Here is a 12721-nt window from a genome sequence, read left to right as displayed (position 1 = left end):
TACCACTCCTTAAATAGTCCATACTTTGCTAGTTGGGGTAGTAGGTTTCGGGAAATGAGAATTCTCATTTGACTTTTTGATTCTTAATAATTTCTATTCCTGCCCTGAAGTTTGACTGGCCTTCCCTTGCTTTCATTTCAACTCGTTGGAGTGTCGCAAGGTCCCTCAGGAACTTACTATGTTTTAAATTTTAATAGCAGCAGCTCGCTACTGCATATGATGATGATACCACTTCACTATTACGAGACTGTTATTTGTTGGAAGAAAAGGAACGTCTCAAAGAAGAATGGTCCCTTTTTAAAGAGCAGAAAAAGAATTTTGAGAGGGAGAGACGAAGCTTTACAGAAGCCGCTATTCGCCTGGGATTGGAGGTATTTTAAACAATTGTAGTGCTTTTGAAAATACTGGGGGTGGGTGGGCCTCAGTAGAATGCTTCTAAGGTCTCCTTTTTTTCTTGCTATTTACTTATTTTCTAAAATATTTACTGGTGATCTCACAAATAATTTGAAATGAGAGGGAGGCTGAGCATATAGAATGGGATCATTTCCCCTTACCAGATTTGAGAATTGAACTTAAGAAAAAAAAACGCTATAAGCATTTATTACTGCTTTCAGATTGGCTTTCTCCTGCTAAGTGTTTTACACAAGAAATCTCTTTTGGGTATCCATCATTCATCCACGGTCAGTAGGTGTGGTGTCAGAAGACAGTGCAACCAAGACTATATTTGCTGTTTAAAAAGGAAGTATAATAAAAAATTAAGTTCTCTTCTCCCCAGTCCATCATTGTTATATATACGCTCTACAGCTTGCTTTTTTTACTTAGCAATGTGTCATCTACATATTCCCCCTTCAAAAATTGTAGCAGTAATGTCTGAATAAGGTTAAAAAAAAAAAATCAACAAAACTCATTAAAAAAAGCTACAAAGTAAGAAAGTATCCTCCTTTCTCATCCTCAGTTTCATTCCTTAGAGGTAACTGCTGTTAAAAAGTATCTGTTGGAAATTCTTCTAGGAAGTACTATTTTAACTTTTAATGTATTTCAAGTTTTCTTGTTTATCAGTTCATTGATTCCCTGCTATGAAAGATAAGGAATTCTGTGTCCTTATTGTACCTCCTACCTACACCCTTCCTCATTCACATCTCATGTCTTCATAATATTGTTCCTCTTGTTCGTCTGCTTGCCTTTTTTTTGCTTTAAGGAAATAATAAAAAGCTTCCATTTCATGTTTGTTCAACTTCAGTCAGTATCAGTTCATCCCTGCAGTGAAAGCTGAGGACTTTCTTGTTGTTACTCTTGTTCTACCTCTCTTGCTGTACTACTTTGCAATTTTTGTGATATTATTTTTCATTGTTATCACATTCATAGTTTGTCCTCTAATACAATCCAGGTATAAGTACTTTGTCTAAACTTGAGACTTAAAAGTTGGAAAACCAGGAAAGAAAATTGATAATACTACAATTATGTAAATGTTATTCTATAACCAAATATGTTTGGACACAGAAAATATTCTGTATTATTAAGACTTTGCCACCCAGAGAGATATATCACTATCTAGTGAATTCTTTTTCTCTGTAGCTTCCTTTGTGATTTCCTGAATCAGATTTCAGCTGCCATGTTGCTCATATCTCATGTTACTGTCTTTCTTGGGTTTCTGTTCAATTCGCTATATTAGTAATTGAGTAATTACTAATTCTTGAGTAATTTTTTTTTTATAAATAGTGCATGAGCTGTAAACATTCTGAATTCTGGAATAGTCAAAAATATATTCATACTTGATTGGTTTGGCTGTGTATAGAATTTAGATTCCAGTTTTTTTTCCTTCAAAACTTTGAATTATTCCATTTCTCCTAGTGTTTAGTTTTACTGATGAGAAGCCTGATTGTAATATACCTGTGTTACTTTGTAGATAACTGTGTTTTGTTTTCTATCTCCCTCTGTGGAAGCTTTGGTATTTTCTTAAAGTTTGGAAATTTTACCAGGATACTTCTAGAGAGTTCCTTTCATCCTAAAGATTCTGTATTTCTTTAATTTAGGGAAATTTTCTTCTTTATTTTTTCCTTCTTTGACTTCTCTGTGTTCTGGAACTTTTGTTAGACACACATTTGGCCTTCTGAATATATATCTACAGGTTGACTTTTGTTCTCAATTCTGGGATATTCTCTTACCTTTATCTTAGAGATCACGAAACTGGCCTTTCAGGGTCAGTTTTATTATTTGCTTTAGCCACTGAGTCTTTGCTTCAGAATTTATCTTTAAATTTTTCTAATGTCCTTAATTTTTGCTTTTCTTTATATAGCATGATGGTATTTTACAGATGTTTATTAATCTGATAATATTTGTTACATTTTTAAAAAAGATTTCTTTCATCTGTTGAATTATCTCTTATCCATGGTCAGTTTTCTATTTATCTTGACCTTTTTTCTATATTAGTTTTCTCAATGTTTGGTGATGCGTGATTCTGTATCAATATTTATGAATGAAAGACTGTGTGTTGCTTGTTTTCAGTAGCTGACGTGGATTTCCTCAGTTCACAGTGTGAACGTCTGTTTCATCAGTAGCTATCTTCAGGGAACAACACTTGACCAGCATTGTCTCCTACCTGTTTCCAAGCCCTTATTCCCCACATTACTCCAAGAGAGTAATTACTCTTGCTACTTTGCATATTGCTCCCAGTTGCCAGGTGCCTTTCCCTGCAAGAGAATTTTTCTCCGTCTGGTCACTGGGACAGTGGGCATAGTGAGGGATGGGAGGGAGGCATGCAAGACCTGAGGGCTGATGGAGAATTTAGTTTAGGATTCATCAGCTATTCAGAAGGGGGAGGTTTGACATAATTTGCCTATGCCCTCTTGTGGTTTAGTGGTGGTGGCTACCAGTACTGGTAGATGGCTAGAGGATGAGAGAAATGCTTGATGAAGTCATAGGTCCTGTTTTTCAAGTGACTAATTTACAATATAGATTATTTTTCTTTTGTTTGTAACTTTATAATGTTTTGTATGTTCAAAAGTTATGCTAATATTCTGTTCCATTTTTTGCATTGTTTATTTGAACTTAAAATTGATATGAAGACAGTGATGGTTGGTTTATTAGGTGAAACAGATGAATTTCTATTTTTTAAACATAATTTTTTCGTAAGTGAAATTTTTCTTAGTTTTTTTGTTTTTGTTTTTTTTTGAGATGGAGTCTCACTCTGTTGCCCAGGCTAGAGTGCAGTGGCGTGATCTTGGCTCACTGCAGGCTCTGCCTCCTGGGTTCATGCCATTCTCCTGCCTCAGCCTCCTGAGTAGCTGGGACTACAGGCACCCGCCACCACACCCGGCTAATTTTTTTTGTTTTGTATTTTTAGTAGAGACGGGGTTTCACCATGTTAGCCAGGATGGTCTCGATCTCCTGACCTCGTGATCCACCCGCCTTGGCCTCCCGAAGTGCTGGGATTACAGGCGTGAGCCACCGTGCCCGGCCGTGTTTTGCTTTTTGAGATGGAGCCTTGCTTTGTTGCCCAGGCAGGAGTGCAGGGGTGCGATCTCAGCTCACTGCAACCCCTGCCTCCTGGGTTCATGTGATTCTCCTGCCTCAGCCTCCTGAGTAGCTGGGACTACAGGCGCACGCCACCATGCCCGGCTAAATTTTGTATTTTTAGTAGAGATGGGGTTTCACCATGTTGGCCAGACTGGTCTCAAACTCCTGACCTTGTGATCCGCCCACCTTGTCCTCCCAAAGTGCTGGGATTACAGGCATGAGCCACTGCGCCCGGCTTTTTTTTTTTTTTTTTTTTTTTTTTTGGAGATACGGTCTTGCCGTGTCACCTAGGCTAGAGTGCAGTGGTGCTATCTCGGCTCACTTCAGCGTCAACTTCCCAGCCTCTAGCCATCCTCCCTCCTCAGCCTCCAAAGTAGCTGAGACTGTAGTCCTGTGCCACCATGCCCAGCTGATGTTTGTATTTCGTGTAGAGACAGGGTTTTGCCGTGTTGCCTAGGCTGGTTTGGAACTCCTCAGTTCAAGTGCTCCACCAACCCTCAGCCTCCCAAAATACTGGGATTACAGACGAGTGCTGAAATTATTTTTAGTTTTTTAGGTTAACTCATTTGACATAAGAAGTACGAATAGATAGCCAGAGAGCAAACAAAGATAGCTAGAGCAATCATGTGAAATGGCAACTGTGTGGATGTTGAAATATTGATCATTATTTCTTTGGCTGTTTATGGTAGAGAAAGGCATTTGAAGAAGAAAGAGCCAGTTGGTTAAAGCAGCAGTTTCTAAATATGACTACCTTTGACCACCAGAACTCAGAAAATGTGAAACTTTTCAGTGCCTTCTCAGGAAGTGAGTACTTTATAAACTCTTTAATTTGAACATGCATATAAATAAAATTATTTACATATTACAAAATACTACATATTATTAATACAAAACTTTGGAAATCACCAATTAGAGCTCTCTAATTATAACTAAAAGTCAACTTTTTTTTGTTTGTTTTTGAGACGGAGTCTTGCTCTGTCGCCCAGGTTGGAGTGCAGTGACGTGACCTTGGCTGACTGCAACCTCTGCCTCCCAGCTTCACGCGATTATCTTGTCTCAGCCTCCTGAGTAGCTGGGATTACAGGCATGTGCCACCACGCCTGGCTAATTTTTGTATTTTTAGTAGAGACGGGTTTTTACCATATTGGCCAGGCTGTTCTTGAACTCCTGACCTCAGGTGATCCACCCATCTCAGCCTCCCAAAGTGCTGGGATTAGGCATGAGCCACTGCGCCTGGCCTAAAAATCAACTTTAATATTTTATTTACTGTAGTGAAAGTGAGGATGAGAGGGGGACTGTGCATGCCCAAAGTAACTTTTGTTGTGAGTTTGTAATAATGCGAAGTTTTTGAAAATTTACATTGAGAATTTCTTTTTTCAAGATGTAGTCTTGCTCTGTCACCCAGGCTGGAGTGCATCTCGGCTCTCTGCAGCCTCAGCGTCCTGGGCTCAGGCAATCCTCCTTGCCTCAGCCTCCTGAGTAGCTGAGACTATAGGCACACACCACCATACCCAGATAATTTTAAAAACTTTTTTGTAGAGACAAGCCCTCGCTATACTACCCAGGCTGGTCTCAAACTCCTGGCTTAAGCAGTCATTCCGCCTCACCTTCCCAAAGTGCTAGGATTACAGGTGTGAGCCACCCCACCCAGCCTAGAAATATTTTTAAAACTAGATCCTTTTGGCTGGGCACGGTGGCTCACGCCTGTAATCCCAGCACTTTGGGAGGCCGAGGCAGGTGGATCACGAAGTCAGGAGATCGAGACCATCCTGGCTAACACAGTGAAACCCCGTCTGTACTAAAAATACAAAAAAATTAGCCAGGCATGGTGGCGGGCCCCTGTAGTCCCAGCTACTCGGGAGGCTGAGGAAGGAGAATGGCGTGAACCCAGGAGGTGGAGCTTGCAGTGAGGCAAGATCGCATCACTGCACTCCAGCCTGGGTGACAGAGCAAGACTCCATCTCAAAAAAAAAAAAGATCCTTTTAAACATGGGTGGACTATGCAACAAAGATAAGCAAGATTAATGATAATTAATTTGAATTTGTTCCATCTCTTTCCTCACTCAGAACCGCAGATGAATCATCCTGATGATTTACCTTCACTATATTTAATGCCTCACCATATGTACTGCCTTTTTCTCTTACTTGTTTTACAACAGGTTCTGATTGGGACAATCTTATAGTGCACTCGAGGCAGCCGCAAAAGAAGCCTCACAGTGTGTCTAATGGGTCTCCAGTTTGCATGTCTAAACTTACTAAATCTCTTCCTGCTTCACCTTCCACTTCAGACTTTTGCCAGACACGTTCCTGCATATCTGAACATAGGTATTTGTCTATAGGTGATCTTTTCACGTGTTTCTAAAAATTGCTAAAGTTGCACTGCTAAGGGAAAGGTGGCATGTCTGTAGTATTAGCAACAATAGAGATTTTGGAGAGGAATTTAGTAGATGATTTATTCATTCTACAAATATTGAGTGTCCAGTATATATAGACACTGTGCTAGATGCTGGAAATACACTAGTGAACAGGTAGATCTGTTGTCTTCTTGGAGGTAAATCATATGATGTGTGTCTTTTTATTTCACATTTAAGATACAATTTAGAATGTAGTCTTAATTATAGGAGTTAATATTTTAAGCACTTTAATTGTATTAAATGGAAGGATATTGTTTTGACAGTTTTTGTAGAGTACATATCTTAACACTTTTTTCCGGCATGCCCATTTTATTGTTGTTGAAGGGCAAAGAACTGAGAAAAGCCTGTTCCTGTTGAGTGAAAAAGATTTGTGCCCAAGGATGACAGTGTAAAAAAACATGGCTCTCCACCCTGGGAAACCCATATGTTGCTCTTAATTGCTACATTTTGGTGTTTTCCTGTATCTCAAGTTATTATATCATTTTCTAAGATAAGATCAATACTCTGCTTCAGTGCCAATTCCAAGATTAGTTTTAAACGAAGAAGAGGAAGCAGGTAGAACATTCCTAGTAAGACAGAGAGGAATAGAAAAGATCAGAGGGGTAAGTTGGAAAGTATGGTGGTAATCTCTTTGCTCTTAATTAAAAGTAGGAGATAATGGCCTTGGAAAACAGTCAGAGCTGAAGCAAACTCGGCCTGTGTTAGAGACTGGAGTGGAACTAAGTGTCGAAGAAGCCAGCTGGCCCTTGGGCCAAGAATTATGAAATAGATGGAGTTTAAAACAAGAAAGGAAGCTTTTAAAAGAAGGAGGAGAACACACTATAAGTTGTAGTTGACTTTTAAGAGGTGGGGGGATTAGGACTCCAAGTAAATGTTAGAGGGGATGAAAAAGAGCTAGGTAAGAGCACTCTAGCCAAGTGTAGGAACCCTGAGGGTGGGACACACCTCATACATTTGCAATGGTGACCAAGACCTAGAGGTGTGAGATGAGGATGGAGAGATGTAAAAGTTCAAATATACAGAGAGGATAAGATCGTGAACCCACGTGTACCTATGACTCAGGTTCAGCAATTATTAACTCTGATCAATATTGTTCATATATAATCCCACTCTGCTTGCTCTCTCCACCCCAGCCCCAACACATCTGGGATTTCATTTACAGAATATTTTAGTGTGCATTTGCAGGTCAAATATTGTTCTAAGGGGAATAGAAAAAACACTAGTTTTAAGCAAGAGAGTGAAAAAAAGTCTTAAGTTTTAAAAAGATTACTGTTTTATAATATTGAAAACAGATTGTAGGAGTCTGTAATATAAACCAGGAAATCCAGTTAGGAGGCACTATTGGAGTGGAAACGAAAGACAATGGTAATTGGACTAGGGTCATAATATGAAGGAAGAAATGCTTGGATTTGGGATCTATTTTGAAGTTAGACCAGTAGATGAGTTGAATATGGGAAGTGAAAGTTTATTTATTTTACAATCAAAAGATAATGTGTAAGCTTATAGTATTTTCTTACATAGAATGTTATTCAAACTTCTAAATTTGACCAGTCAGAACTATCTGTATAGATATAGACACAAATTCTAGCCACCATTCACAAATAATGCATTTTATATCTAAGAGATAGCATAACATAGTTGTCTCAATTGTTTTTATATATTTTAAATATTTAGCTTTTTACATCATTTTTAGTTGTGAAATATTTGACATAAACATTTCTTGAAGACATTGTTTTATGTTTAATAAAGTTCAGCATTTAGTACCTAAATCATAGGGTGTTGCAAGTTAAATGTTAATGTATGTAAAGCACTTAAAAACATTTAGTGACAGACTATAAAAATAAAAATATATGTAAACAAATATAAACATGCTTTTTTTGTTTCTGAGTGCTCCACTAAACAACATCCGTGGCATAGAAACAATTTTGGAGCTTAAAGAAATTCAAGGTATTCATTGTTAACTAGCCTCTAAGAATAAAACAAACAGAAAAAAGTTTTATAACTAATAGAGAAGCTGTGCAGCCTGACTTGGTTCTTCACATTTTAAATTATTTGATAAACTTGGTTCTCTTGCTCCTGAAGCATTTTGGATCTCGGTTTATATTAATATTGCAACAAAATAATTAGGAGTATTTGTAGCTAATTTCTACAACATCCTCATTGTTCCTTCACTGTAGAATGGAATTTTATATAAAGGCTGTGCCTTAGATTCCAGGCAAGGAGACTTGTGCGTAAGTTACCTAAAAAACTTAGTTTGATCATTTGTACAGGGATTCTGATGACCGAATTACTATAAGTATTGGTAAATAAATTTATAGTAATTTGGTCATCAGAATCCCTTGTACAAATGATTAAACTAGGCATGCACTACTACTCCCAGCTAATTTTTTGTAGAGACAGGGTTTCACCATGTTACTCAGGCTAGTCCTGAATTCCTGGGCTCAAGCAGTTCGGCTGCCTCAGCCTCCCAAAGTGCTAGGATTACAAGTGTGAGCTACTGCTCCCAGCCGTTTTTTTTTTCCAAGTAAAATTTTAAATTATATTTTTGGCCTAGATTTTTAGAATTAAAAGGAACTTATTTTTTTTGAAGAGTGCCACATTATGAGGTTAAAGTACAAAAGAAGGAGAGGATAGTCACTAAGATCTGCCTTTCTTTTCCCAACAGTTCAATCAATGTACTGAATATAACTGCTGAAGAAATTAAACCAAATCAGGTTGGAGGAGAATGTACAAATCAAAAATGGAGTGTGGCATCAAGACCTGGATCACAGGAAGGTTGCTATAGTGGATGCTCCTTGAGCTACACAAATTCTCATGTAGAAAAAGATGACTTACCTTAGACATGTGGACTGGAATTTTTTTCATTAATGTGTTCATCAAGTTTCACATCTAAGTTGAAACAGGGTGTGTCATAAAGTCAGTTATCTCTAATAACTTAAGATGGTCTGAGTTGTTTGTTTGGACTTCCCTGTCTTCCCCCAAAGAGTTGAAATCTTAAATCTATTTAAAAGGATATAAAAGCTTTGGATATGTATTTTTAGTAACAGAAGCATCTGGTTCTGTGAATAAAGGAATGTATAGATGTTTGGATGGAAACAAAAGCACTAGACTGAGTTTCCTCTTATAGGTATTAAAAATAGCACTTTTAGGAAACTGATTATTGTAAATGTTTAATTTTGTCTCAAATATAGTTGGCATTGGAAGTTTAGCCTTTACTTGAATGTATACTGTAGATTTTTAACAAAGCGAGTTCTATATTTATTATGTTTAGTGTGGTTTGAAATTACCTCTTTCATATGTTTTAAATAAAGTGAAATTTATGTATGTTTTGTACATAGATACACATGATTATGTTAAGAGGCTTTAAGATTTAAAAGTTTCACACAACCATAAGTATAGTATTTCATGCCAGTAAAATTTTTTTAGTGGTATTCTGTTTACAGATGTATTAGGACCATTGATGCATTACATTTAAGAATTCTCTTTAATACATCTGGGCAATAAATATTGAAAGGTATTCCATGAAGCTGAGTTCTTTAGATAATCAACACTACTAACATTACATTTTTGAGATTTTTATGACATTAGATTTTTATTTTGTATATGTAGAATATTATAATTTTTAAAAGGACTATTGATGATAGAAGAATAGGGGCAAGACGACAAAAGTACCTTTGAATAAAACAATTTAAGAAATTGGTTTAAGATATTGGATGATAGAAGATATTTAAGATATCTAGATGGTGATATTTTCCTTACAAGATGGGTACCAGTATAGTAATATCTGTATACTAACTAGGGCTTTGTATTGTCAATAATTTTTTAATAATTTTTTAATGAGGTATTTACCACTGAAGAAATATGATAATATAAAACCATCAAATTTTATAATTGAGATGATACTCTGGAAAAACATGTCATTTCATTTTCAGAAAACTCTTAAGCTCTCTTCAGTCTCTGTAATGTTTCTGATTGCATGTTTCTTCATGAAAAGTATGTTGTTGTTTTGATAGTAATAATAATAAATGTAGGCTCAGCTCTTTCCCAGGATTTTCATCAAAAAGCTTTAAGTGCCTAACCCTGCTTGTCTCTGTACATAGAAGCCTGCACAGATCCAACCCTTGCTAGGTATCATAGTTTAGGCCCATTTACCTTCCCCTGTACTGGCAGTTCAGCCGCTTACATGCACTCACCCTGTTTGTGGCTATTTTAAATTCATATTATTAAAAAACAAAAAAAACCCACCTATTTGTGTTGTCCATTCACTATACGTAACTATGTAACTCTTTGGAGTTGCATAGCAGCAGCCATTTTTTCAGGGCTGATAGGATATCATTAAGAGTGTCTTATGAGACATTAGTGGATATACTCATAGTAACCATATTTATAGTTTTAAAGAGCTAGCTCTTGAGCATTAGTCACTACCTTCAGCTTGATGCATGGTCACTTCTTTACTATTTAAAATACTACACATTGTACAAAATATCGAAGACACTACCATATGCTAAAGGAAGAAATCTAGCTGGGATATAGGATTTTTGTTGTTTTTGTTTTTGTTTGTTTTGCTATTTAGCAATAACATGGTCAAAAAGGCAATCAGAAATTTTAAATACAGTTAATGGATACATTTGGCAACAATTTTCCCCCGAGGGTTTTCCATGGTGTACTTTGCAAGAAATAAGCACTCTAATTTTTAAAGTAAATCTCTTATTTTAGCAAATATTATATTTCATGACAATGGAGTTCTAGAAAGCAGCATCTGTTTTTTGTTGCGTGTTTCCATTTTAAAGTGAGTTGAGTTCTCAAATTGGAAAGAAAGATTCCTTGAGACGTACTTTTAAAATCTAAAGTGTGAAAGAAACAGCAGAGTAAAAGCCAGACTCATTGCACCTTCAATGTCTGCATAGATCCAGAAGTTGTACATTTTACCTAACAACATCACTTTTGTTGAACATTCCAACTCCAGAATGATCCCCAATCACCCTAATCTCAGAATGCTGGAATGATGTCTGTTGGAAAACCCAGGACTCCACACACAAAACTCCTGGGATTTTGTTTCCCATCTCTTTCTAGGTGTTTGCAATGTACAAATAATACAGCTGTGCTAATCTCACATTTAGCCATGATAGATGATGGTTCTAGAGTGTACTTCCATTTGTAAGTCCTCCTGATAAGTGCTTTCTTGTTTATCACTATGTAAATCTGAAATATTTTGTACTTCATTTGTTTTTATCCATTCTGAATTTTCAAAGCATAAAAATGTCAAAGAAAAATTGAGATAAACATTTTGTTCACCATTAAATGTTTGCATCTGCAGTCTATGATGAGAAACAATGAAATTATGACTAAAATTTAACAAATAGTATTTTCTTATAGAAGCAATGTATTAAATGATTAGATACACAGGACAGTTCACAGCAAATTGTTTACTTACATGGCATAATTGAAATACTGTTATTTGTAAAGAGTTCTATACTGCCTACCTTAGCTAACCAGAATTGTTCATAGACTTGTGATAATATGGTGTTATGGGAAAACACATTTTGTGCGCATGATGAAGAGAGCACCGTGAATCTAGTCTTGACTGCCCCTGGTGGAACATTTGAAAGCCCTTGGGACTCCAGGAGAGAGGTTTTTGCAGCATGTATGCTAAATTTGTGAGTTAGCAAGACCCTGCTGTGATTACTATGTTGTACAGATCTTCAAAGTATATTGCCTAATATGAGTCATGTTATTTCTAGATTGAATTTAAAGTAAGTATGGATTATGGAAGTCTAGTAAATATACTTTTCCCTATTTTTGTCCTTTTTCAGTCTTTTGGTAAGCATTTATTAAGTACCTGCTGTATGTCAAGGCTTACTACTGCTTTCCAATCCTTGGTGATATGAAGACAGATAAGCACGCTGCCTGCTATTAGGAATCTGAGCTGAGTGGAAGGCCAACTATTAAACCTACATTGTAATAAACAATGGTGGATGCTACGGACACATTCAGTCTGTTCATAAAACATGGACTGATGGGTCTGCTCCAGGCCACATTTGTTTTTTAACAGTAACGTGGCTAGGCTTCCATTTATAAGTCTTAGCATTATTTCCTTTGTGAAGTACTATGTAACAGATGATTGTTTGCTAGATTTTGTTTTCTACAATCAAAATGTTGACCTGCAAAGCAGTGTAGGATTTTCTCTCCTCAAGAGCGTGTATTATTATCTAGTAGAAAAAGCATTCCCAAAGACTTGGTCCATGCAGATAAGGATAATGAAATTGCTCACTCTAATCCTTTTTCTAAATACAGTGTTTTTCAAGCTGGATGTAAATTAGAGTGGGTGGATATTGATTAAATTATTTGATTTATATGAAATCAAATGACTGGTTGAGGTTTTTTTGAACATTTACAAATAATGGATTCCTGAGAGCTCAGGAAGTACTGTAATGTCAGTGACATATGAAGCTCCTGATAAAGATCCACCTCATTCATATATTTGAGCTTCAGAAATACATGTACCTAGTATAATGCTTAACAGCACATAATATTTGTTGATGAGAAATACACTGATGAAACAACACATTTTTTTACTGGAATGAATGGACTATAAGTTTGGGGTTAGAATCCTAAAACTCCTCTTTCTCAAGAGGGTAAGAACCTTGTCATGAATCTATGCATGTGTACTTCCAACCCTATCTCAATTCCTTGCATATAGAGTATCATGATAGAGTAGGTTATGCTGCAATTAAACATTAAGTCGGTGTGGCGTAATAAAATTTATGCTCATGAAATGTCCAGTGTCAACT

The 12721-nt window shown here is 36.6% G+C and overlaps 1 protein-coding gene across 36 annotated transcripts in view; it reads left to right on the top strand.

Moving 5' to 3' along the window:
- SSX2IP (SSX family member 2 interacting protein) overlaps window positions 1-12497 on the top strand; it is a 47040-nt gene extending 34543 nt beyond the window's left edge. For 14 of the 36 annotated variants that reach the window (XM_005270428.3, XM_047444208.1, NM_001166294.2 and 11 more), the window contains 4 exons: window positions 198-371; window positions 4206-4320; window positions 5676-5841; window positions 8596-12497. In XM_005270428.3, the coding sequence (XP_005270485.1) occupies window positions 198-371; window positions 4206-4320; window positions 5676-5841; window positions 8596-8770 (630 nt within the window). In that variant the 3' untranslated portion in view covers window positions 8771-12497. Of the gene's footprint in view, window positions 1-197; window positions 372-614; window positions 739-4205; window positions 4321-5675; window positions 5842-8595 lie in introns of those variants that run through there. The other 22 variants (XM_047444234.1, XM_047444231.1, XM_017000235.3 and 19 more) reach the window with 6 other exon arrangements.
- The last annotated feature ends 224 nt before the right edge of the window (window positions 12498-12721 follow it).

Source organism: Homo sapiens, chromosome 1 (assembly GCF_000001405.40).
Source record: "Homo sapiens chromosome 1, GRCh38.p14 Primary Assembly".
NCBI classification, from domain to species: Eukaryota; Metazoa; Chordata; class Mammalia; order Primates; family Hominidae; genus Homo; species Homo sapiens.
This window is presented reverse-complemented; position numbering and strand designations above follow the sequence as displayed.